At 48.3% G+C, this 25,616-nt stretch overlaps 1 long non-coding RNA gene across 4 annotated transcripts, besides 7 other annotated features; it reads left to right on the top strand.

Annotated features, from left to right (window-relative positions):
- The first annotated feature begins 93 nt into the window (after window positions 1-93).
- Window positions 94-20,983, top strand: LOC105374798 (uncharacterized). Of its 4 annotated transcripts, none has more exons than XR_940236.3 (4): window positions 94-183; window positions 977-1,183; window positions 1,894-2,038; window positions 19,851-20,983. It is a non-coding gene; the product is annotated as an uncharacterized LOC105374798 (long non-coding RNA). The 4 variants fall into 4 exon arrangements; XR_940235.3 differs by having other exon boundaries at window positions 977-1,489; XR_940237.3 differs by having other exon boundaries at window positions 977-2,038; window positions 19,851-20,031; window positions 20,893-20,983.
- Window positions 1,280-2,479: an enhancer, noted in NCBI's record as "CDK7 strongly-dependent group 2 enhancer chr2:72258545-72259744 (GRCh37/hg19 assembly coordinates)". NCBI's record gives its function as "activates an origin of replication core promoter dependent on BRD2, BRD4, P300/CBP, MED14 and CDK7 cofactors, with strong dependence on CDK7, by STARR-seq in HCT116 cells {active_cell/tissue: HCT116}" and the evidence as "EXISTENCE:reporter gene assay evidence [ECO:0000049][PMID:35650434]".
- Window positions 11,717-12,365: an enhancer, noted in NCBI's record as "OCT4-NANOG-H3K4me1 hESC enhancer chr2:72248659-72249307 (GRCh37/hg19 assembly coordinates)". NCBI's record gives its function as "activates a minimal SCP1, AML or CMV promoter by ChIP-STARR-seq in naive H9 embryonic stem cells {active_cell/tissue: H9 hESC(naive)}" and the evidence as "EXISTENCE:reporter gene assay evidence [ECO:0000049][PMID:30033119]".
- Window positions 12,366-13,014: an enhancer, noted in NCBI's record as "OCT4-NANOG-H3K4me1 hESC enhancer chr2:72248010-72248658 (GRCh37/hg19 assembly coordinates)". NCBI's record gives its function as "activates a minimal SCP1, AML or CMV promoter by ChIP-STARR-seq in naive H9 embryonic stem cells {active_cell/tissue: H9 hESC(naive)}" and the evidence as "EXISTENCE:reporter gene assay evidence [ECO:0000049][PMID:30033119]".
- Window positions 20,027-20,527: an enhancer, noted in NCBI's record as "H3K4me1 hESC enhancer chr2:72240497-72240997 (GRCh37/hg19 assembly coordinates)". NCBI's record gives its function as "activates a minimal SCP1, AML or CMV promoter by ChIP-STARR-seq in primed H9 embryonic stem cells {active_cell/tissue: H9 hESC(primed)}" and the evidence as "EXISTENCE:reporter gene assay evidence [ECO:0000049][PMID:30033119]".
- Window positions 20,528-21,028: an enhancer, noted in NCBI's record as "H3K4me1 hESC enhancer chr2:72239996-72240496 (GRCh37/hg19 assembly coordinates)". NCBI's record gives its function as "activates a minimal SCP1, AML or CMV promoter by ChIP-STARR-seq in primed H9 embryonic stem cells {active_cell/tissue: H9 hESC(primed)}" and the evidence as "EXISTENCE:reporter gene assay evidence [ECO:0000049][PMID:30033119]".
- Window positions 22,163-22,663: an enhancer, noted in NCBI's record as "H3K4me1 hESC enhancer chr2:72238361-72238861 (GRCh37/hg19 assembly coordinates)". NCBI's record gives its function as "activates a minimal SCP1, AML or CMV promoter by ChIP-STARR-seq in primed H9 embryonic stem cells {active_cell/tissue: H9 hESC(primed)}" and the evidence as "EXISTENCE:reporter gene assay evidence [ECO:0000049][PMID:30033119]".
- Window positions 22,664-23,164: an enhancer, noted in NCBI's record as "H3K4me1 hESC enhancer chr2:72237860-72238360 (GRCh37/hg19 assembly coordinates)". NCBI's record gives its function as "activates a minimal SCP1, AML or CMV promoter by ChIP-STARR-seq in naive H9 embryonic stem cells {active_cell/tissue: H9 hESC(naive)}" and the evidence as "EXISTENCE:reporter gene assay evidence [ECO:0000049][PMID:30033119]".

Below are 25,616 nucleotides of genomic sequence, written 5' to 3'. Positions count from 1 at the left end.
AGGGTGTTGCAATGGAAGTGCGGAGGCCGAGGAGAGCCTGGGTTCAGCCAAGACTTGAAGGAGGTCAGGGAGGGAGCGTGTGGCTGCCTGGGAGAAAGACATGCATGGGCCCTGAGAGAGGAGCTGAACACAGCAAGGGGTGCTTCGGCTGGAGAGGAGGGAGAAGGGCCTGAGAACCGAGAGGTAATGGAGGACACAGCATGCAGGGCCCTGTCGGCCATTGTAAGGTCTTTTGAGTTTTTTTCCCAAAACCGAGTTGGTTTTATTGCAAGAATAGAACGGTGCACTGCCCTCGAGGCTTTGCCTTTTACTCTGAAGCTTCTGTGGAGTTTGGGCCCCAAGGGACCAGACCTGACTTGAGGTTTAAAAGGATCCCTCTGGCTGCAGCAGGGAATGCTGATGGTGGGCGGCGGGGGGGGGGGGGGTGGTGGTGGCAAAGCGTGGGACAGAGTGACCCAGAGGAGGCTTCCTCGATGGCCCAGAGGACCACAGGACCTGGACCAGTGAGGAAGAGGTGAAGCAAGCATCAGTGGAATTCTGGATCTGCTTTGAAGGTGGCACCAGAGTATTTGCTGCTGGATTGGCTGTGGGGTAGAGAGAAAGAGAGGAGTCCAAATTTTGGGCCTGAACAACTGGAAGGATGGAGCTGCCTTTTACTGGGATACAGGGTGAAGGAGGTTCTTTTGTGGCATTCGGGGATGATCAGAGTTTCATATTGGGCATGCAGGGTTTGAGCTGCCTAGTGTGCATTCTAGGCAGAGTTCTAGGGACAGCAGCTGGCCATGCCAGTGGGAGGTATAGGGAGACAGAGGTCACAGCTGAGGACCTCCCTCAGGTCACACTCCTGTCAGAGCAGGATGGACTCTTAGGGACTGCCGAGGAAGCACAGCAGCAAGTGGTCAGGCCACACAGCTGGCAAATGGCAGGGCTGGGGCTGCAACCCCGGGCTGTTCCCAGGTGCTCCTGTCTCCTGCAGCCACTGCCTCCCATCCACACCCACGTCAGGAGGAGCGGCTGGGGCCGACTGAGTCCACCACCCCCTTTACCAGAGGAGGAAACTAGGCCTACGTGATTGCCTGGGCACACACCGAGGACGAGCAGCAGAGCTGGAACCCGGGCCTCCCTGACTTGGGGTTCAGAGATTATGCATGACAAGATAGCACTCGTGAAGGCGCCCCGACAGGTCTGGAATGTGGGAGTGAGTGTGGTGGTGATGATTATTGTGCCCCATTGGCTGGCCAGGGGCGCATTTTGGCAGGATTGCCCTCTTACCCAGTGAGGGCTGGGGACCAACTCATGTTCTTCCTGCTGGGAGAGGCCCAGGCCCCTGGGTGGGGGCCCCACATTCAGTCCCTGCCTTCCTGATTCATCCCAGCTCTCTTGGAGGCCTGAGTCACTTTTTTTCCAGGTGAGAGCTGCCTGTTTGGCAAATTCCTGGATTTCAGGGGAAGAAATAGGAACTCCTGCCCAGGGTTGGTCTTATGCACAGGTAAGGCAGGCAGCAACCCACGTCTGCCCCAAATCCCTGCCCTGGCCTGGAATTCACTCACTTGTCTATCTATCCATGGGGCCAGCCATTTCTGAGTAATGATCTCCATTCTGATATTCAGTATTTTGCAGTTTGCAAAACACTTTCAAATACGGGTAGTCCTATTTTGTGGATGAGAAGACTGAGGCTCAGAGAAGGGAAAGGCTGTTTCAAGAGGGCCCAGCTGGGAAACAGGGAGCCAGGGTGCAGTCCCAGGCTTGTCTGACACAGGAGTTCTTCCATTTACAGTCACTACTGTCCCCACATCTGGTCGCCATTTCCAACTCTTTGCCCCAATTCTCTGAGCTAGGGAAGGAAGCTGTGACCTTCAAGAAGTCTGATTCCCCTTGCACTGTGGGTAACAGGAGAAGGAGGAGGCATGGACACTGAAGAACAGTCTCGAGGACAACTGCACAGCCAGGTCTGGAGAGCGGCCGTGGGAGAAGCCTTGAGTGGGTTGAGTGCCCAGCAGCTCCGTGGAGGCTATCACAAGAATATCAGAGAAGCGAGGTGGGTAGGAGGCGTTCTGGACAGGGAAGCAGCCAGCAGAATGGGATGAACTTACATTCAGGGGCCAGGAACATAAGGTATGTGTATGAGTGGGCAGGAGGGTCAGGTTGCAGAAGTTTCTGAATGCCTATGGAATGTTCGGGGCAGTACTGGTGAGGGGCCCAGGGCTGCTCCCTCTTCCCCCAGGAAGCCTTCCTGCGCTAACTCCTCTGGTTCCTCAGCCCCGGCCGGCTCCTCTTCCCCAGGCACAGCCTGTACTTGGAGACTTCCTGGGTCATGTCCTCTCTCCCAGGGAACAGGGCAAGGGGCCGCTCGTAGGATACCTACCTTACTGATAGAGATCGTGGGAAGTTAGGAAGCCAGAGTCTTTCTCAAGAAGGATCAGGGCTTGGAGGGAGGGCCAACCCTACAGACAGGCAGACTGTATTCCTCGAGGTGTATGCAGACGTCTCTTCTCCAAAGAGCCCCTGATTGCATGTTACAGTGCCCAGAGTTCCAGCAGAGGTGATTCACACTTTCGGACAGGGCACATCCCCTCACCACAGATGAATTTCCTTGAAAGGATACTGCTGCACCCATCACTGTAAATGGCACCAGCAAATAGTTTCTTCCCTGGGTAGGGGGCTGGGGGAAGTGGGAGCAGAGAAGAGGGTGACCGGAGAACCTCAAGGGAAGGTGGGGTAGCAGAGACACCTTGGGCCACTTCATATCCGTGCTATAGGAAGACCGTGTCTATTTGGAGCCTCCACAATAATCCATCCTCACTCTTTACCAATGCCCTAACAGCTAGTTCAGATTTGCCTTGTTTCAATCAAATTCCTAGTGGGTCTCGGGCTTCTTAGTATAGGGGGTGCAGGGGCTGATTCAGGGCACCATGAAGAGGGTTTTTGAAAACCAGTTTCCCTCGGCAGGTAGAACCTAATTCAGAGAAAGGCAATCTGGGCATCTGTCAGGTAGCCAGTCAGTAGTGGGCACAAACGGTTCAAGCTGGAAATAGGATGCTACCTAACTCAGGTTTCACTGTGACCACGTCGCTATAACTGACAAAATGCAAATAAGCTCCACTCCCACTGATGTAGACAACGCCCTGGAGTAGAATTAAAAAAAGAAAACGTTGTGCCAACCTATTTTGATTGTGTACTTCTGCAATAAGGATGCACATGTTGCATGGCACGATTATATGCCACGCCTCTCACCTGGGACCCAGACTCAAAGCTGCAACCGACCCAAATCCTGCAACCAAATAATACCTGGTGCATACGGCTCTGCTTTTTGAGAAAGGGTGATATAAAGCTTAGAGTCTTTGACATGACTCTCAGACACAGATCCAGTTTAGGAAAACAAAGACCAAGATCTTGAGGCAGGCTGGGCATGGTGGCTCACGCCTGTACTCCTAGCACTTTGGGAGGCCAAGGCAGGAGGACCCCTTGAATTTAGGAGTTTGAGACCAGCCTGGACAACACAGTGGGATGCTGTCTCTACAAAAAATAAAAAGTTAGCCAGGGGTGGTGGTAGCCAGGTGCACTTGTAGTCCTGGCTACTCAGGAGGCTGAGGTGGGTGGATTGCTTGAAACTGGGAGGTCAAGGCTTTGAGCCATGATTATGCCACTGCACTCCAGCCTGGGCAACAGAGTGAGACCCTGTTAAAAAACAAAACAAAACCAAAACAAAAACAAAAAAACTTGAGGTGTTGGCAGTGAGTGACCACGAACCAGAATAAAACAATTTTTAAATATGCTGTAAATAAGCCTTAGTAATGATGTGTATATAAGTTAGAGGATGTGGCTATAAGTGGCCAGTTATAAAAAGTGGGAAGATTATAAAATGAAGACAATTTCAAATAAGGAAAAATATATTACATTACTTCAACTTGTTAATTCCTTATTCTGAACATAAAAACATATGTAATTTATATTGTTTGAAAACCTGTTTCTTTCCATTTCTCCTGAATAAAAGATAGATAAGCCAAAATTTTAGCGGTTTATTGAGATCACCAAATTATTAGCCATCATGGGTTGACCAGCTGCCTTGTTCCTCCCTGATGAGAATGGTGGGTGAAATCGAGGCTGCTTGCGGCGTGTGGAAAAGCCAAGTGGAGGCAACTCAGCTTCAAGTCTGTGCTATGGCAACATATGTGCTTCTCATTAGTGATTTACATCACAAGATCTAGCAGCGGGTCTAATAGTTTTTGTATAATAATTTCTGCATTGGGATGAGCGTTTTTGATATTTCAAGATGTGGATGAGCGTTTTTGATATTTCAAGATGTCTTCTCAACTGTAATGATATGAAAATATCTGATTTCGATTGCTAACAAAGTCACAGGTACTTTTACATACTTTTGTGGTTTGTTGTCTCCACACATAACTGAAAGAAAGTTGAGTTAGGCGTTGGTGAAAATAATGGTGTAATTTTCTCCGCATTCAATCCCCAAATCCCCTACATTCTCTCCTTGGACGTCCAGTGGGTTAATGGAGCCCAGGTCAGGTGGTCCCTGAAGTTCCCCACAATCTCTGCCCACAGGACAGACGCCTGGAGTGAGAGGCTCTGGGGCTGAACTCCCCATGGAGGGCTCTGTCTCTCTGACCCACTCTTAAGTGCTCCTTTCCTCCCTCTGAAATAGACAATGCCCTGTGTCCCGCCTCCTCACACTCTCCCGTGGAGGCTGCTCCTTCATGGCTCTCGACTCTGTCCACTCCTGCCCACCTGCCCCTCTGAGTCAGGGCCCCAGGCCTGGGCTGCTGTGGAGCCTCCCGACAGTCTGCTAGCTCCTCTCTGGTGGACTCCCATTGGTTCCCCACATGGTAACCAGTGGGATGTTAAGTTGTAGAGTTCATCATGTCACTCTCTGCTTAAAGTCCTTCAATGGTTCCCCAGTACCCTTAGGGTAGGAACAAGAACTTGACTTTTGTCCCCAAGGCCGGCCCACGCTGCCTCCCATCTCCCACTAGGCCCCTCCGTAGCACCCTGGCCACCTTGCACTTCCTGGCTCATGCCATGTGCCTCTCTGCCAGGCCCTTGGCACTCACCGTTCCCTCTGTCTGGCCCCTACCCTCGCTCTGCCCCATAGCTTGTGAACTCAGCTCTCTCGCAGACATCACTTTCTCCAGGAGATGCCCCTGCTCTCTGTGGAGCCCCCATTCCACACCTGCTGCTCTGCTCAAGGCTGGTTTGTTAGAACATGCATTTTGTCTTTCACATTGGGGATGTCTGGAAGCCCTTTGATGCTACAAAAGGGCATGGGGTGGGGGGCACCAGGAACATCCCGCTGCCTGGGAGGACCACCCAGCATGCGGACAACTCTGGATCAAGGCTTGTGCTGACGTTAGGAGATTGGAGGGCCTGAAAGGCGATGCTAACACAGTGCTGGAAACCCAGGCCCATGGGCCTGTGGTGTGGGGCGGAGGCAGGCTGCCCTCCAGGTGTGGAGCAGAGCAAGCACTGTCTCTGCGGGCTCTCCTGGCACCATGAACTTTTGGGTTAAATCCCCTAATGCCATTGCAACTTTACTTTTCTTTGATTAATATCATTTCCCCACTAGACTATAAGTTCCAAGGAGGCAAAGATGGCATTGGTGGCCAGCATCTAGCATGTGCCCGCCTGCAGTGGGAGTTCGAAAGTTGCTATTGAAGGAATGTCCGAGTTCTCTCTTCCCTATTCACAGAAAAGCCCTCCGGCTCCTTCTGTCCCTCTTTGTTTCCCCCTGCCTTTTGAGAGTCTGCACACCCTTGGCTGGGTTTTGTGGGTATTTCCCCATTAACTGGCTAAGTCATCCCTTACTCGTTTTTCAGGAGGGCTGCTGGTGACTCAGACCCGGTGTGGCTGGGCCTGGCTCTGAGGGAGCTCCTGAGAGCCTGAGTAGATGCTCAACAAACATGTGCCGAGTTGAGCCTCAGCCAAGCTTGGAGGCAGAGGGATGGACAGGATGACTTGGCTGCAGGAGGGTGAGTCCTTGGAGGAGGGAAAAGACAGGTCAGGTGACTGAGAACAGGGTTCGATTCCCGGTCAGGTGACTCTGGGGAAGGTGCTGGGGTGTCTATGGAGTTTCACACCCCATGATCTGGGCTGGGTGCTCCAGATAGGATCCTGGCACACCCCCGGCGGCCTGCCCCCACCTGCTCCTGGGGCAGGGGCAACAGGTGGGGCCCACTTATCGCCAACCAGGCCAGCAGGTGGAGCCAGCCTGGCCCTGGGGAGATGGCAATAGCACAGGCACTCCTCAGTGGAAAATCACCACACCACACGGCCTCCTCCTGGGAACGGGAACAGAAAGGCCTGGAAGATATGGGCCAGAAGTGTGTGGGCCTGTGCAAAGAGCTCAGGCTCCCCTCAAACTGGGGTAGGCGGGTGGGCCTTCCCTCTATGGTGCCACATGTGGGCAGTTCTCAGGCTGGGTCGGAGTGAGCCGAGGGTCAGTCCTCAGCCCCATGGATCCAGGCCCTCCAGGGCCTTAGGAAGCATCTGCAGTCTCCTTTTAGGCCCTTGAGATTTCAAATTACGTCTAATCACAACTCGCAGGGCTAGACCTACTCCACTTGTGATCCCATAATGTCTGCTGGACTCCCAGCTTGGGTGTAGCAGTGTCCTTGGCAAGGGCCAGCTTGAGGGCCGAGGGCACTGAACACTTTTTTATTGGGGCAATGGCTGCTGGCCCCTTTACGGTCAAGGTGTGCAGACTGAGAAGTGTCCATATCACTTGCTAATTGCTTTGCTCGAACATGAAGACTTGGACATAAGAAATACGTGCACACACTCAGAGCATACTCTGCACATGTTTTCACACCTATGTCCACACATGAAGACATTTTCTCACATAACCACAGACAAAACTGTGCCCCAGTGCACACGGATGCACAGAGGCCTGCGTGGAAATCCATGCCCATGCCTCGGACACCTCACAGTCTCGGTATGCAGGCTGAGCACCACAATCCTGTCCTGGAGCTGGGGAGTCATGCCTCTTTCCTTCCAGTCCCTTTTCTATGCACTTACAAAGCATACTTGCATTTGAATTATTTGTACCATTTTGTATCTCATGTCATGAAACACTCTCTGTAAACATCATTTTAAATCATTGCATAATCTACCATCATATGGGTGGACCGTAATTTATTTGACCAATCCCCTATTGTTGGACATGTGAGTTGTATTCCATTTTTCACAACACTGTGTGTAAATCTTTATCCACCTGTCTGATGATTTCCTTGGGCTGGCCTCCTAGAAGTCGCAATACTGAGCCAAAGGGTAAGACTGTTTTAAAGGCCTTTGAATCATGTTGCTGAATTCACCGAGTTGCTCAATTGATACTCTCACCAGCAGTGCTCATTTTCATGTTCCCTGGCCAAGCCTGAATACTCTTATTTTAAAAACTATCTATTAATTTCATGTGCTAAATTATTCATTGCCATTCTTTTTATTTGCATCTGTGAATTATTAATGAGTATAAATAATTTTACTTTTTTGTTAGCCATTTATATTTCCACTTTTTCTATTTAAGTCTTTTTACTACTTATCTATTTTGATCCTAGGATTTTTTTTTTCATATTGATTTGTAAGAATTCTTTGTATATTTATTAAGAAGATTAACTCTCCCTTTACTGGCCATGTTTGTTTCAAATATTGCTTCCATGTTTCCTATTTGATTTTTATATTCTGCCTTTTTGTTTTTTTGAAATGGAGAAGACTTACATTCCAGGCAATCAAATTGAACATATTTCCCTTCACCACTGCTCCGTTCACATTTAAGTTCAGAAAGCTCTTCTTTGTTCTAGTTGTTGAAAATTACTTCTTCCTACATGTGTGTATCTTCATTTTACATTCAGCTTTGTAATCTTCTGGGAAGTAAGGAAGATAAGACATTATTCCTGCCCTCAAGGAGCTTTCAGGAAACAGGGCAGAGGGAGCAGAAAGTGACAGTCATCACTGCTCCCATTGTGAGCCAGAGATAAGATATGCAGGTAGGGGTTCCGTGAAAGGAGGAGGAGGCCACATGGAGGAGATGGGACTTCTTGAATGGAGTGCTCAAGGTGGCACTGGGCTGTAAGAGGTTTTATTTCTTTATCAAACATGTACATAGGCAGGTTATGTGGCAGGCATTGCTTTACATACATTATAAATACTAACTCATTCAATCCCCGTATAACTTACTGAGTTATCCTACTCTCATTATCCCCATTCCACAGATGAGGAAACTGGGGCATGAAGAATACAAATAACTTACGGTGGTAAATGGAAGGGCCGGGACTTGAACCCAGTATGGTTGGGTTGGGGGCTGGGGTGAAGTGTGGTTGGCAGGGGGTGCTTATGATTAAGGGACTTTGAATACTCAAAGGAAGAGTTTAGACCAGAAGCCAGCAAACCTTTTCCTGGAAAGGGCCAAACAAACAGTAAACCTTTTGGACTTTGAGGGCCAGGAGGAAAAACCAAGGATATTATAGGCACTTATATAAAAAGAGAGAAAGCATGTTTCTACAACTTTTTAGTAAGGAAACTTAAAATATAACAATAGAGTACATTAAGAAAATAACATAGGTCTATTACAATTTTGGAGAGGGAGTGTGTAATATTTTGCTTAATTGGGGTAAAAGTGGTGCCTACCATCACACTGATGGCAAATCTTCACCTGTAAAAGCCAGGCAGCTTGTGAGGCTTTAGGGAGATAGGCTGTGGGATGGATTTGGCCTGGGGGCCTCAGGTAGCCTGCCCACCGCTGATTTAGACCTATTCTTGTAGGGAATGATGCCCTTGAAGCACTGTGGCACTGAGCAGAGAAGAGGTAGAAAGTTGCTGCCGAGGTCCTGGAGAGAGGGGAGAAGGGCCCACGGCAGGGCGGGGGGTGGCGTGGCTGGAGAGGCAGGAAGGAACTGCCAGGTTTTTCCGAGGCTGGTGATTAGGTATGGGGTGGGGATGACCTGGCACATGGAAGCACCGTCACTGCCAGCCGAGTCAGCAGCACCCTGCATGCTTGCCTGTCTCTCAAGGGGGCGCCCATTTGGAGGCCTTGGCAAGGGGCCAAGGCATTAAAGAAGAGAAAGTCATTGCTGCCATAGTTTGGTTGGGCCTTCCTTTTCTGCAGCATCAGGAAGACTCCACATTTGCTGCCATAGTGCCCGCCACCCCAGCAGGGGATCACTCTCTTTTGGGCTTAAGCATTGCCCCCTTCAGGCTCCTTTTACAGAGTGCCAGGCCATTCAGACTTTCTCTTTTGGGGCTCATAAGGGATTAGACTGAAACAACAACGGTGGGGACAAGATGGGGTGGGGGGCGGTGTACACAGAAAGAGGAGTGAGAGGCACCAGGGACCTGAGAAAATGTAGCCACCGTGGTCACAGTTTCATCGAGACAGATCGCACTCCCAGGCTGCACTATTGGGAAACGCTTCTTGATTTCTCTTGCTGATGCCTCCTAGTGGAGCACAAACCGGCCCCCCTTCTCTGTCCCCCGTGGGGGCGGAAGGTGGCCACTTGGTGCAGCTGGGGTCTGTAATTAAGTCTGTAGCAATGGGTGGGGAATTGGACAAGGCTTGTCCCAGAGTTGTTCTTGCTGTCAGTGGGCTTAAACCCAGGCAGGTGGCTTACGAAATGTTCTTGGGGAAATCCTCCTGGGTGAGCCCAAGGCGCACCAGATGCAAATGGGCCTGAGGGACAAATTCAGGGCACCTCTGTGTGGATGCAGCCCCCGCTCCGGTCCACAGACCCAGAGGGGTTGAGGAGAATGAGTTAGAGGGCTGTGTGGGCCAGGTAGGGGACTGATCCCCACTACCATGGCCTACAAGGGGCTGAGGGGTGTCACTACCCCTCACAGTCCCTTGATCCTGACCTCAGGGTGACCCTGTTTTAGCTTCAGACTAAACCTTAACCCTGACCTCAGAGCTTTAAGCCCCGCTACCAGGCTGACCTTTAAACCCTACTCATCATCCCACAAGATAAGCATTCTTTCTTCCAAGGGACATTGGGCCCAGCAGTGTGGGCAGCTCAGTGAGGGTCTGGAGGCACCCTGCTCCCAGCCTGAGTATCAATGCCAGAAGGGTGGGCCACGGAAGGGTAGTAGGAGGTCACCAGATTGAGGATCGGGCACAGCCTTCTCACCTGACTCCTACTCAGCTGAGTGATGGGGCCACTCTCTTAACCAAAGTGAGGTTTGGGTGCTGAGAGAGATTTACTCATCTTCCCAGCAGGTACAATGATACCCAAGTGCCTGCCCTGCCCATCTTTTAAAGTAGGTGTGAGAGTTCAATGGGGAGGCACAGAAGTAATTTGGAAACTGTGTGACATTATTACACAAGTTTGTAGTATTAAAATAAGAAGAGTGGCTCACGCCTGTAATCCCAGCTCTCTGGGAGGCCGAGGCAGGTGGATCACGAGGTCAGGAGTTCGAGACCGGCCCGACCAACATGGTGAAACCCCGTCTCTACTAACAATACAAAAATTAGCCGGATGCGGTGGCACACGCCTGTAGTCCCAGCTACTCAGGAGGCTGAGGCAGGAGAATGGCTTGAACCTGGGAGGCGGAGGTTGCAGTGAGCCGAGATGGTGCCACTGCACTCCAGCCTGGGTGACAAAGTGAGACTCCATCTCAAAAAAAAAAAAAAAAAAAAAAAAAAAAAGGAGAAGAATTACACATGGCTGGTCTGCTGCCAATCAGCCTGCATGCTGTGAGTCCAAATGTTGCCACACATGGTAATTTCGTCACAGTTTCCTCCTCCCTACACTCTTCTGCCCACCTCATTTTTTTCTTTTAATTTTTATTGAAAAATATTTCAAAAAATACTCAATGGTAGAGACTAGTTTAATGAACCTCCATGTGGCGACAAAGAGAGCATGCTTTGCGGACTTCCTGCTGCAGGGGCCCTGCTGCGTGTGAGGCCTGGTGCTGGGCATTCAGCCCTCACCCTGATTGTGTGGAGGCCGCATCTCCCAAGGACTGGACCCTGCCAGTGCAGCAGGAATCCTAAGGCAAGCTCCTTCATGGGAGCTGTGGGACCCTCTGTCAGAGACTTTCACTCAGGGACGTTCCCAGGCTTTGCTCGACTGTCCGTATACTCAGGAGGCTGCCCTGCTCTCCAGGGTGCACCTACCCAGCCTTCTCTCCCTCCCTCCTTCATTCAGGGTCAGACTAGCATTTAGAATGATGGTTAGCTCTCCCAGCCTTTCTGGCTCCTCCTTTATGTCCTTTCTCACAGGCATGTCCCCTAATAAAATAACACCTTTCATCTCACCTTGGTTCCTGCTTCTTTGAGGACCTCAAGCAACAGACCCCCCAATCCCATATACCCATCATGACTGTCCGCAATTAGCAACATCTCCAACATTTGCTTCATCTATCCTTTCCTCATCCTTTTGTTTTTCTTTCCCCACTGAAGTGATTAGAAGCAAATCCCGGACGCCATGCCATTTTATTCTTAAATGCGGTTCACCCTCACTATTCATGGAGTCTGCATTTGCAAATTTGCCTATTTTAAAAATTCATTTGGAATGCAAAATCAGCACTCATCATGCCCTCTTGGTCATTCGCAGACACGAGCACATTGGTGAAAAATGTGTCACCAGATGTTAGGTTCCCAGGTGAGGCCAAACATCGTGACGCTCTGCCTCCAGTTTCTGCTCTCATACTCTAAAGGGTCCTTTTCATGGTCTCTTCAGTACCATGTTTTTCACACTCTTGGTGCCTTTTATTGGTGATTTTGCTGTTTAAAGGGGTCCCCAAGCACAGGGCTGTCTGATGTTCTTAAGCACAAGAAAGCTGTGATGTGTCTTACGGAGGAAATACGAGTGTTAGGTAAGCTTTATCTAGTCATGAGGTACAGTGCTGGTGGCCATGAGCTTGCTGTTAATGAATCAACAATATATATTAAATAAGGTGCCTTTAAGCAGAAACTCACACACAACAAGATTATGTAGAAGATGGCCGAATAGGAACAGCTCCGGTCTACAGCTCCCAGCCTGAGCGACTCAGAAGACGGGTCATTTCTGCATTTCCATCTGAGGTACCGGGTTCATCTCACTAGGGAGTGCCAGACAGTGGGCGCAGGTCAGTGGGTGCGCGCACCGTGCGCGAGCCGAAGCAGGGCGAGGCATTGCCTCCCTCGGGAAGCGGAAGGGGTCAGGGAGTTCCCTTTCCTAATCAAAGAAAGGAGTGACGGACGGCACCTGGAAAATCGGGTCACTCCCACCCGAATACTGCGCTTTTCCGACGGGCTTAAAAAACGGCGCACCATGAGATTATATCCTGCACCTGGCTGGGAGGGTCCTACCCCACCAAGTCTCGATGATTGCTAGCATAGCAGTCTGAGATCAAACTGCAAGGCGGCAGCAAGGCTGGGGGAGGGGCGCCCACCATTGCCTAGGCTTGCTTAGGTAAACAAAGCAGCCGGGAAGCTCGAACTGGGTGGAGCCCACCACAGCTCAAGGAGGCCTGCGTGCCTCTGTAGGCTCCACCTCTGGGGGCAGGGCACAGACAAAAAAAAAGACAGCAGTAACCTCTGCAGACTTAAATGTCCCTGTCTGACAGCTTTGAAGACAGCAGTGGTTCTCCCAGTACGCAGCTGGAGATCTGGGAATGGGCAGACTGCCTCCTCAAGTGGGTCCCTGACCCCTGACCCCCGAGCAGCCTAACTGGGATGCACCCTCCAGCAGGGGCACACTGACACCTCACACTGCAGGGTACTCCAACAGACCTGCAGCTGAGGGTCCTGTCTGTTAGAAGGAAAACTAACAAACAGAAAAGACATCCACACCAAAAACCCATCTGTACATCACCATCATCAAAGACCAAAAGTAGATAAAACCACAAAGATGGGGAAAAAACAGAACAGAAAAACTGGAAACTCTAAAAATCAGAGCGCCTCTCCTCCTCCAAAGGAATGCAGCTCCTCACCAGCAAGGGAACAAAGCTGGATGGAGAATGACTTTGACGAGCTGAGAGAAGAAGGCTTCAGACCATCAAATTACTCTGAGCTACGGGAGGACATTCAAACCAAAGGCAAAGAAGTTGAAAACTTTGAAAAAAATTTAGAAGAATGTATAACTAGAATAACCAATACAGAGAAGTGCTTAAAGGAGCTGAGGGAGCTGAAAACCAAGGCTCGAGAACTACGTGAAGAATGCAGAAGCCTCAGGAGCCGATGCGATCAACTGGAAGAAAGGGTATCAGCGATGGAAGAAGAAATGAATGAAATGAAGCGAGAAGGAAAGTTTAGAGAAAAAAGAATAAAAAGAAATGAGCAAAGCCTCCAAGAAATATGGGACTATGTGAAAAGACCAAATCTACGTCTGATTGGTGTACCTGAAAGTGATGGGGAGAATGGAACCAAGTTGGAAAACACTCTGCAGGATATTATCCAGGAGAACTTCCCCAATCTAGCAAGGCAGGCCAACGTTCAGATCCAGGAAATACAGAGAACGCCACAAAGATACTCCTCGAGAAGAGTAACTCCAAGACACATAATTGTCAGATTCACCAAAGTTGAAATGAAGGAAAAAATGTTAAGGGCAGCCAGAGAGAAAGGTCGGGTTACCCTCAAAGGGAAGCCCATCAGACTAACAGCGGATCTCTCGGCAGAAACCCTACAAGCCAGAAGAGAGTGGGGGCCAACATTCAACATTCTTAAAGAAAAGAATTTTCAACCCAGAATTTCATATCCAGCCAAACTAAGCTTCATAAGTGAAGGAGAAATAAAATACTTTACAGACAAGCAAATGCTGAGAGATTTTGTCACCACCAGGCCTGCCCTAAAAGAGCTCCTGAAGGAAGCGCTAAACATGGAAAGGAACAACCGGTACCAGCCGCTGCAAAATCATGCCAAAATGTAAAGACCATCGAGACTAGGAAGAAACTGCATCAACTGACGAGCAAAATAACCAGCTAACATCATAATGACAGGATCAAATTCACACATAACACTATTAACTTTGAATGTAAATGGACTAAATGCTCCAATTAAAAGACACAGACTGGCAAACTGGATAAAGAGTCAAGACCCATCAGTGTGCTGTATTCAGGAAACCCATCTCACGTGCAGAGACACACATAGGCTCAAAATAAAAGGATGGAGGAAGATCTACCAAGCAAATGGAAAACAAAAAAAGGCAGGGGTTGCAATCCTAGTCTCTGATAAAACAGACTTTAAACCAACAAAGATCAAAAGAGACAAAGTAGGCCATTACATAATGGTAAAGGGGTCAATTCAACAAGAAGACCTAACTATCCTAAATATATATGCACCCAATACAGGAGCACCCAGATTCATAAAGCAAGTCCTGAGTGACCTACACAGAGACTTAGACTCCCACACATTAATAATGGGAGACTTTAACACCCCACTGTCAACATTAGACAGATCAACGAGACAGAAAGTCAACAAGGATACCCAGGACTTGAACTCAGCTCTGCACCAAGAGGACCCAATAGACATCTACAGAATTCTCCACCCCAAATCAACAGAATATACATTTTTTTCAGCACCACACCACACCTATTCCAAGATTGACCACATACTTGGAAGTAAAGCTCTCCTCAGCAAATGTAAAAGAACAGAAATTATAACAAACTATCTCTCAGACCACAGTGCAATCAAACTAGAACTCAGGATTAAGAATCTCACTCAAAACCGCTCAACTACACGGAAACTGAACAACCTGCTCCTGAATGACTACTGGGTACATAACGAAATGAAGGCACAAATAAAGATGTTCTTTGAAACCAACGAAAACAAAGACACAACATACCAGAATCTCTGGGACACATTCAAAGCAGTGTGTAGAGGGAAATTTATAGCACTAAATGCCCACAAGAGAAAGCAGGAAAGATCCAAAATTGACACCCTAACATCACAATTAAAAGAACTAGAAAAGCAAGAGCAAACACATTCAAAAGCTAGCAGAAGGCAAGAAATAACTAAAATCAGAGCAGAACTGAAGGAAATAGAGACACAAAAAAACCCTTCAAAAAATTAATGAATCCAGGAGCTGGTTTTTTGAAAGGATCAACAAAATTGATAGACCGCTAGCAAGACTAATAAAGAAGAAGAGAAGAATCTAATAGACGCAATAAAAAATGATAAAGGGGATATCACCACCGATCCCACAGAAATACAAACTACCATCAGAGAATACTACAAACACCTCTACGCAAATAAACTAGAAAATCTAGAAGAAATGGATAAATTCCTGGACACGTACCCTCTCCCAAGACTAAACCAGGAAGAAGTTGAATCTCTGAATAGACCAATAACAGGAGCTGAAATTGTGGCAATAATCAATAGCTTACCAACCAAAAAGAGTCCAGGACCAGATGGATTCACAGTCGAATTCTACCAGAGGTACAAAGAGGAACTGGTACCATTCCTTCTGAAACTATTCCAATCAGTAGAAAAAGAGGGAATCCTCCCTAACTCATTTTATGAGGCCAGCATCATTCTGATACCAAAGCCGGGCAGAGACACAACCAAAAAAGAGAATTTTAGACCAATATCCTTGATGAACATTGATGCAAAAATCCTCAATAAAATACTGGCAAACCGAATCCAGCAGCACATCAAAAAGCTTATCCACCATGATCAAGTGGGCTTCATCCCTGGGATGCAAGGCTGGTTCAATATACTCAAATCAATAAATGTAATCCAGCATATAAACAGAGCCAAAGACAAAAACCACATGATTATCTCCATAGATGCAGAAAAGGCCTTTGACAAAATTCAACAACCCTTCATGCTAAAAACTCTCAATAAATTAGGTATTGATGGGACATATTTCAAAATAATAAGAGCTATCTATGACAAACCCACAGCCAATATCATACTGAATGGGCAAAAACTGGAAGCATTCCCTTTGAAAACTGGCACAAGACAGGGATGCCCTCTCTCACCACTCCTATTCAACACAGTGTTGGAAGTTCTGGCCAGGGCAATTAGGCAGGAGAAGGAAATAAAGGGTATTCAATTAGGAAAAGAGGAAGTCAAATTGTCCCTGTTTGCAGATGACGTGATTGTATATCTAGAAAACCCCGTTGTCTCAGCCCAAAATCTCCTTAAGCTGATAAGCAACTTCAGCAAAGTCCCAGGATACAAAATCAATGTGCAAAAATCACAAGCATTCCTATACACCAACAACAGACAAACAGAGAGCCAAATCATGAGTGAACTCCCATTCACAATTGCTTCAAAGAGAATAAAATACCTAGGAATCCAACTTACAAGGGATGTGAAGGACCTCTTCAAGGAGAACTACAAACCACTGCTCAATGAAATAAAAGAGGATACAAACAAATGGAAGAACATTCCATGCTCATGGGTAGGAAGAATCAATATCGTGAAAATGGCCATAATGCCCAAGGTAATTTACAGATTCAATGCCATCCCCATCAAGCTACCAATGCCTTTCTTCACAGAATTGGAAAAAACTACTTTAAAGTTCATATGGAACCAAAAAAGAGCCCGCATCGCCAAGGCAATCCTAAGCCAAAAGAACAAAGCTGGAGGCATCACACTACCTGACTTCAAACTATACTACAAGGCTACAGTAACCAAAACAGCATGGTACTGGTACCAAAACAGAGATATACATCAATGGAACAGAACAGAGCCCTCAGAAATAACGCTGCATATCTACAACTATCTGATCTTTGACAAACCTGAGAAAAACAAGCAATGGGGAAAGGATTCCCTATTTAATAAATGGTGCTGGGAAAACTGGCTAGCCATATGTAGAAAGCCGAAACTGGATCCCTTCCTTACACCTTATACAAAAATCAATTCAAGATGGATTAAAGACTTAAACGTGAGACCTAAAACCATAAAAACCCTAGAAGAAAACGTAGGCATTACCATTCAGGACATAGGCATGGGCAAGGACTTCATGTCTAAAACACCAAAAGCAATGGCAACAAAAGACAAAATTGACAAATGGGATCTAATTAAACTAAAGAGCTTCTGCACAGCAAAAGAAACTACCATCAGAGTGAACAGGCAACCTACAAAATGGGAGACAATTTTCGCAACCTACTCATCTGACAAAGGGCTAATATCCAGAATCTACAATGAACTCAAACAAATTTACAAGAAAAAAACAAACTACCCCGTCAAAAAGTGGGCGAAGGACACGAACAGACACTTCTCAAAAGAAGACATTTATGCAGCCAAAAAACACATGAAAAAATGCTCACCATCACTGGCCATCAGAGAAATGCAAATCAAAACCACAATGAGATACCATCTCACACCAGTTAGAATGGCAATCATTAAAAAGTCAGGAAACAACAGGTGCTGGAGAGGATGTGGAGAAATAGGAACACTTTTACACTGTTGGTGGGACTGTAAACTAGTTCAACCATTGTGGAAGTCAGTGTGGCGATTCCTCAGGGATCTAGAACTAGAAATACCATTTGACCCAGCCATCCCATTACTGGGTATATACCCAAAGGATTATAAATCATGCTGCTATAAAGACACATGCACACGTATGTTTATTGCGGCATTATTCACGATAGCAAAGACTTGGAACCAACCCAAATGTCCAACAATGATAGACTGGATTAAGAAAATGTGGCACATATACACCATGGAATACTATGCAGCCGTAAAAAATGATGAGTTCATGTCCTTTGTAGGGACATGGATGAAATTGGAAATCATCATTGTCAGTAAACTATCGCAAGAACAAAAAACCAAACACCGCATATTCTCACTCATAGGTGGGAATTGAACAATGAGATCACATGGACACAGGAAGGGGAACATCACACTCTGGGGACTGTTGTGGGGTGGGGGGAGGGGGGAGGGATAGCATTGGGAGATATACCTAATGCTAGATGACGAGTTAGTGGGTGCAGCACACTAGCATGGCACATGTATACATATGTAACTAACCTGCACAATGTGCACATGTACCCTAAAACTTTAATAATAAAAAAAAAAGGAAAAAAAAAAGATTATGTATCAGCTGAGGAAAACATTGTGATCAGAGGCTCATAGGAACCTAACATTCTATTTCTTCTGGGAGCAATAATTCAGTATTTGCTAATTCAGTGTTTTGGTGAATTTATATAACAAAACCACTGTGAACAAGAATCAGCTGCACTTCAGTATTACACACATTTCCTTATAGGATGACGATGCCATTATCACATCTAACAAAATTAACACCAATTCCTTGGTATCATTGAATACCCAAACCATTATCAAACTATCCCTGCTGTCTAAAAATGTCTTTTTATGAGTGGTTTATTCAAACATGGAAGGATCCAAACAAGAGCCATATCTCATATTTGGTTGTTATAATTCTTAAATTTCTGAGTCTAGAGAATTACTCTCTCCCCTTTTAATTTTTTTCATGATTGCCTTCTTGCAGAAACCAGGTCAGTTGGCTCAGTGGAATGTCCCACATTCCGGATTTGTCTGTTTGCCTCCTTCTGGTATTTACTTTTTTCCTTTATCTCATATTTTCTAGCAATGGAATTTATCTCCAGAGGATTCTATTATGGGGTGGGGGGGAGGGTGTCAAATTATAAAGGATGAGTTGGGATGGCAGTGCTAAGAGTTGGGGATGAAGTGAGGGTTATAGGAGGGTGGCATCAGGGTTGAGATGGGGTTTGAATTCAGGACAGAGATAAATGCATTTGGTGGGATGATCTGATAGTTAAGAGTAAGGACTCAGGAACCAGGATTTCTAGGTTCAAGTCACAGCTTTACCACTTATTAGCTATTGACCTTAAATAAGCTACGTAACCTCAGTCTGCTTTAGTTTCCTCATATGTAAGATGAGAATAAACAAGAATCCTTGCCTCATAGGGTTGTTGTGAGGTTTAAATAAGCAAATGTATGTAAAGCATTTGGGCTGGTGCCTGGCACATGGTAATTGCTATGTAAGTGTTTGTTATTCTATTGTTATTGGAGTTAGACTAAGGGTTGGGGCTGGGTTAGTTGCAGGGTAAGGGTAACTCTAGTTCATGATTCCACCCATTACTGAAGGTTCTGCCTCACCATCAGAGGGGGTCTGGGGATAGAAAGTGCCCAGATTATCCCTCCCTTGAAGTGACCTCTTGCTTCCTCTCTAGAGACCAGGTAGGGATTGGATGGAAGCAGGATCTCTGTTTCTCTTTCCCTTGGAAGCTCCTCCATTCTTGACCCTCCAGTTTTGACTCTGACCTTTCCCCTTCATTGTTCATACGCCAAAGGGGCTGTGGAAGTTCTCTGATGGAACCACAATCCTGAGTGGGATTTTAGAAGAGTGGGGGGAAATGGTTCTTGGCCTCTAGGTAACTACTGAGAAGAAGATTTTTGCTGGGCAAGGACACCTGTGTGGACATTTGGATCAGTTGCATGGAGCTAGAATGGAGAGGGGCTGATACAGTTCCAACCCAAGAATAGGGCAAACCATACGGTGGCCACTAGAGATGCTGGTGGATGTGGGTGTAGTGTTCATCTATCTATCTGTCCATATGCCAGCCAAGCATCCATCCATCCACGCATCCATCCATCCATCTATCCATATATCTGCTTATTCATCTCTTCACCCATTGATCACCCCCGGAAATACCAAGCACCCCCTCTGAGTCAGGCACACCATCCCTGCACTGAAGTAGGTCATTATCTAGTGAAGGAGGTACATATTTAATTATTACACACTGTACTAGTAGAGGAATGTACAATATGTGATGAGAGTTCTGGAGAGGGTGGAACCATTTATGGCTGGGGCCAGGGGCTGAAAAGAGGCCTCTGTCGATCTTCCTTGGGTCTGACTCTTCCATCCCGATGAACCCCTGTCCTAGGGTTGGGTCCAGGGGCAGGCTAATTTTTCAGTTTCCTGTTTCTAAATCACCAGGTTCAACTTGAGAAGAGACCTGTTCCTTCTGGGAAGGAATTATGGAGTTACCAAATAGCCCCACCACACCGGTCCAGGCACCCTGAGGTCACGGACAAGTTCTCTGGAAATGGGCTGGAGTCCTCACGAAGGCTCCGTTGGGAAGATGTGGACACAGAGAGTCCAGGCACCTCCATGCCAGGTCAACAAGATGCATGGACATGGCATCGTTGTCCCTTTTGGAGCTGTCTCCTCTCCCCCTTGTGTGGGGCTGTGGACAGTGGGCCAGAAGCCTCTCTTATATCCTCCTACTCTGCTCCCTCCTGCCCATATCCCACTTCCTAGCCCTTGGTTTAGATCTCTTGATAATGGCTCTCAATCTCAGGTCTCCTGATGGGGAATATTTTGCCTCTCTAACTAATTGCAGGCTCCAAAAGTCAGCGTGTAGGACGTGTGACTCCCCTAAGTAAGACCTGGCTCTTCCCGGCTGCTGGATGGTGGGAACTGCCTTCACCAATAGCCCAGGGGTCAGACAGCAGGGGCTGTGTCTGTTCCCTCAGCCTAGGGCAGGGGCGGGGCCTTGCCCTCTGTCTCTCCCTAGCCTCAGATCAGGAAGGAGCCCATGGACTGTCTCAGGCTGGCCTGTTGACAGGAGAACCTGGCCAGGGCCTGAGGTGGTTTCAGCACACTCTCCCTCCCTCCATCTGTCTGACTAATAGTCCCATCTGCAAGCCCCACGTGAGACACAGCAGCGTCTCTGCTGCTGCCCTTGTGAGCGAGCGGCCGTGTCTGCAGCGTAACTGCCTGATGGTATCTCCAAGGGTGGTGTGGGTGAGCTGTCTCTTGGGAGTGCCTGCCTGTCTGCCTCAGCCCCCAACCTGCCCATTGCATTATTCATAGAACCCTAGGACCCGCTTCCCTTCCCCCAGCACTGTGAGAGACACCTGCCTGGCTGATACTGGGGGTGGGGGGTGTGAGAGTGTGTGTGTTTCAGGGGAGGGGGGGTCTCTGGGTACCCCTTCCTGAACTAGTCCCCATGACTTCTTCTCTGACACATTCCTAGGTGGAAGCCTTGGAGACGTGATTGCTGCCAGGGTGTCTCCAGAGATGTGAGGCCCAATTTCCATCTTCTGGCTCACAAGGAATCCTAGCAATGGGCCCTGGGTCCTACCTGCCCTCGTCTTCTGACTGCCCCTGCTAATACTCATTTCTGCCTCCATGGGCTCCTACCTCCTCATTCTAGGCAATTTCCTTTTCGCTCCTCCCAGCTGATGAGGGCCTCCTCCTGGCCCTAGGTCACTCCCATGGTAAGATAAATGCAAGTTGCTTCCCAGCCAGGCTTGACCTCTATCTACTGCCACCAACCCACCCCTCCCACTGTGCCTTCGTTTCCTAAGCTGTAAAATGGGAATCATAGTAGGAAGGGTCCTTGAGGGATGAAATGAGATCATATATGCGCAAGTTTGCGGGAATACAGGAGCCCAATGTCTTAACAGTCTTCCGTCTTCCTCCTGACTCTGTCCCCTCAACCTTAGATTCCCCAAGACAGCAACCACAGAGAGAGTGTATAAAAGGAGACGCGAAAACATAAGAAATCAAAGAAGGGCCCCACCCTTTGAGATCCTCTGAGCTGATGGGAGAGATACAGTCTCTGCCTCGGGGAGCTCCCAATGTGTTTGTGTCTAGGTTTGTGTGTCTGTGTGTCTGTGTGGTAGTGGAGGGGCGTGTTTCCCAACCAGAGAGGAGAGCCCAGATGTGTGTACTGGGCCTAGAACAACTCTTGTGGTGTCTTTTTAGCAGGCAGGGACAATCAACAAATTCATTAAGTACCTATTTACACATCTATTGTCAAAGCTAATAATTTGATTTAACTAAGCTGATTACCTTCATTAAAAACCATTAGTTCCCATAAGCAAATGTTCCTGTGTCTGCATTTTCATAATTACATTGACATTTCACAACTTGCATTTCAAGGGAAGCCTGTACTCAAACTCCTTCTTGTCCACCCCAGCCCACAGGGCTCTCTTGGCGTTGCCGTCCAGCCCAGGCCCTTGCTAGATATTGGGGACCGTGGGAAAAAAAACAGGCCTGGGGTCCTTTGCCTGCATCCCATGCTTCGTGCCTCCTCTGGTGTCCTTGTGCCTGGATGGCAATATGAGCTGTTCGTGGAAAGGCTGCCTTTAGGGAAGGAAAAGGAACCAGTGTTTGTCGAGTGCCCACAGGTGCCAGCTGCTGGCACAGTGGTTAGCTCTTTAGTCCTTCCAGGAACATATCAGCACCTCCATTTTACCGATGCTGAAACTGAGACTCAAGAAGTTGAGTAACTTACCCAAGTTCACATGGACCTCCTGAAGCCTGGATTGAGAGCCCACGGGCAGGCTGGAGCCTACCACCTGCCCTTCCTCCTCTCCTGCCAGTGCCCCTGGTAGGTTTTCCCGGACACTCATTTCCCTGAAACAAGAGCTAGGATCTGGGCCCAGGGAAGTGTGGAGAGAGCACACCCTGGGAGGGGTCCAAATGAGCAGAGGAGTCCAGGTTCGGCAGTGATACCCATGGCTGATATTTACTAAGCACTCGCTGTGTGCCCAGGGTCTGTTCTAAGCACTTTGCCACTGACAGGCAGGAAGAGTTGCCTCTTGGAACCTCAGTCTCCCTGTCTATAGAATGGGTGGAAGAATCCTTGCCCCACCCACCTCCCAAGGGTTCTTTCAACCCCATGGCTGTGTCGCTGGCCACGGGGGAGGGGGACGTCAGAGCTTGGAGGAAAGAAGGGCCGTTTCACAAAGGTGAGGCTGTGTCAGGGGGCCTGTGGGGACCCCAGGGACCCCTGGGCCAGCCCGGAGAGGCAGGCTTTCTCGCTCTCCCCTTTCTTCCCTTCCTGTGTCCTTGGCTTCCTAGGGAGGCCATCTCCCCACCGCTGTCTCTGCTCACCCACCCTCTGTCCCGCTTCTCCCTGACCTGACCCAGGGGCAGCCTTGCTGTGGGAGCTATTTCCAAGGACAACCCTGGCAGCCCCAGGGTACGGGAAACAAGTCCCTCCCCTGGCTTCTTGCACAACACTGTCCCTTCCTGGGGACCTCGTGGTCCTCTCCATCCACAACTCTTTCTCTTGCCTCTTTCTACTCCTCACCTCTCTTGCTTTGCCTCTCTCCTCCACACCTCCTGTCCTCTTACCTCCAGAGGCTGCCTTCCTGATTGTAAACACCTCTCACTTCCTTTCTCTTCTCCTGTCATCTCACACTCCTGCTAGCTCTCTCCCTCCTTCTCGCCCTCCTTCCATTCAGCTTGTCTCCTTTCCTCCCTGCCTCTGCCTTAGCCCTGTCCTGGACCCGGGATGCCTGTGCACCTCCACCCCAGACTGAGACAGAGGAACCCTCTACACCTGCAGGAGACAGAAGCTTCTAGAATCCACGTGGGAGGAAACTGAAGGACTGGACCACATAGGTCAGTGGCTGATGGTCTTGACCATGCAGAGAAGCCAAGTGAGTCAACCCGAGGAAGCGAATGTTGCTCAGAAACCCGAGAGAGCCTGTGATACCTTCTTTGGAATGTGTTGCTATGTAAATCTCACTTCCTGTCCCTGTTGGAGGACAGAATTGACCTTTTAAAAAGAAGCCCGTCGCCGGGCATGGTGGTATGCGCCTGTGGTCCCAGCTACTCTGGAGGCTGAGGCAGAAGGATCGCTTGAGCCCAGGAGTTTGAGGCTGCAGTGAGCTATGATTGCATCACTGCACTCCAGCCTGAGTGATAGAACAAGATCCCATTTCTAAATAAAATAAAATAAAATAAAATATAATACATTTTAGAAGCTCAACATTATTGTAATCCTGAAGGCGTGTAAGGTTAGTTAGACAAGAGGATGACCTGAGGTAGGAAGATGAGCATGGCAGTAAAGGAAGGCTCTGCTTTCAGGTACCTTGTCTGTCCAGGCAGCTCCATGAGCATCTGTCGAGTGTCACTAAGTACAAAACACCTTGTCCGCTCTGGGAGGGTTGAGAGCCCCAGCCAGACCTGCCTATCCTCCAAAGCTCATGTCCAGTGGACTGACTCCCTGAAGGGCTTCTAGATATGAGGGAGAAATTCAGTCGCCACTCTAGGGTGTGGGAAGTCTTTTCAAAAGAGTTGTCTGCTGCTGGGACATGAAGGATTGGGAGTCTGATGTTAAGGTGCAGAGAGCATGACTGGGGCTGTCTGGGTTTGAATTCACACTCCACCGCTTTCTAGCTGTGTAACCCTGAACACGTGACTTTCTGGGGCTTGGGTTTCTCATCTTTAAAATGATGATAATGTTCCTACTTTTTTCATAGTGTTAACATGAGGCTTAAATTACTGAGTCCCAAAGGACTCAATACGAAAGACATTTCTCAAAAATGTTCCATTTCAAAAACATTTTTCAGTGAAGCATAAACAGCCTCCTAAGTGATTGCACAGAAATCTATTTTTTGGTATCCCAGAGTGGGAATGCTGGGTTCACCTTGTCTCTGCCACTCACAGCCGTGTGCCTCTGGGCAAAGCATCCACCTCTCTGAGCCTTAGTATCCACTTCTACAAGATGAACAGAATGTATAGATATAATAGATATTTCTAAAGGTTTGACGCTATTTCCTCAAGTATCTATTGCTTTGACTCTTAGTAGTGAATAAAAAAACCCCAAGAATCCATTGCCACTTCCTCCCCCGCCCCCGCCCCTGCCCCTGCCCCCACCCATTGGCCTATTGTGGTGGGGACAGTCTAGTAGTGGCTGGGGTGGGAGGAGGGAGCCTCCTTCTCCAAGTGGCCTTGGATCCACAAAAAAAGAGACCCACGTGGTGACTCATGCCTGTAATCCCAGCACTTTGGGAGCCCGAGGTGGGCGGATCACAAAGTCAGGAGTTCAAGACCAGCCTGGCCAATATGGTGAAACCCTGTCTCCACTAAAAACACAAAAATTTGCCAGGTGTGGTGGCAGGCACCTGTAGTCCCAGATGCTCGGGAGGCTGAGGCAGGAGAGTCGCTTGAACCTGGGAGGCGGAGCTTTCAGTGAGCTGAGATTGTGCCACTGCACTCCAGCCTGGGCGACAGAGCAAGACTCCGTCTCAAAACAACAACAACAACAACAACGAGGCCCAAGTGGGAGAACTCTGGTCTTGAGTTAACTTCTAGAAGGAAATAGGGCCCATACGTGTCCTGGAGCCCCAAACCCGGTGTCCAGAGGCTTCTGCTGGTTGGGTGTGGCAGGGTTGAGTCACTCAGCAGGAGAAAAAATTGGGAAAACATTTCCGTTGTCCTCCTCCCTTCTCCTCCTGGTGCTCCCGAGCAGTGAGGCTGAGCAGGATCAACACCGTCCACGCCTGTCCGTGTTGGCATGTTTAGTCACCTGGGCAAGCTGGGGGAATACTGCCATGGGATGGAAGAGCCAGGCACTTGAACGCCCATGCACACACATGCTCCCTACCACTAACCTGCAGTGGCTTTAATGAACCCCTTGCAAAGCTACAGCCCTTTAAACAGGATCGTATCCATCCACATCGGAAGAAAAGCATTCATAATTTGCCCTGGGCACCCAGTAATGATTGTGAGTAATAGTGAGCCAGGGTATACCAGGCCGCTGCAACTTGAAAGGACATTTCCCAAACGGAGGTGATAGGTCTTGATAATTGTTATAATAACAGCTCAGTGGGCCTGGGTTAGTTCCTTTCATCCCGTGAGGTCATAAATGGCTTTCTCCACCGGAGAAAGGACAGGGCCTCCACCCACCACAAACACCCTCTCGCCTGTGTTCATCCAGCTGGGGATTTGCCCAGCTGT

The sequence above is a fragment of the Homo sapiens genome, chromosome 2, assembly GCF_000001405.40.
Source record: "Homo sapiens chromosome 2, GRCh38.p14 Primary Assembly".
NCBI classification, from domain to species: Eukaryota; Metazoa; Chordata; class Mammalia; order Primates; family Hominidae; genus Homo; species Homo sapiens.
Note: the sequence above shows the minus strand (reverse complement) of the source record. Positions and strands in the feature narration are given on the sequence as shown.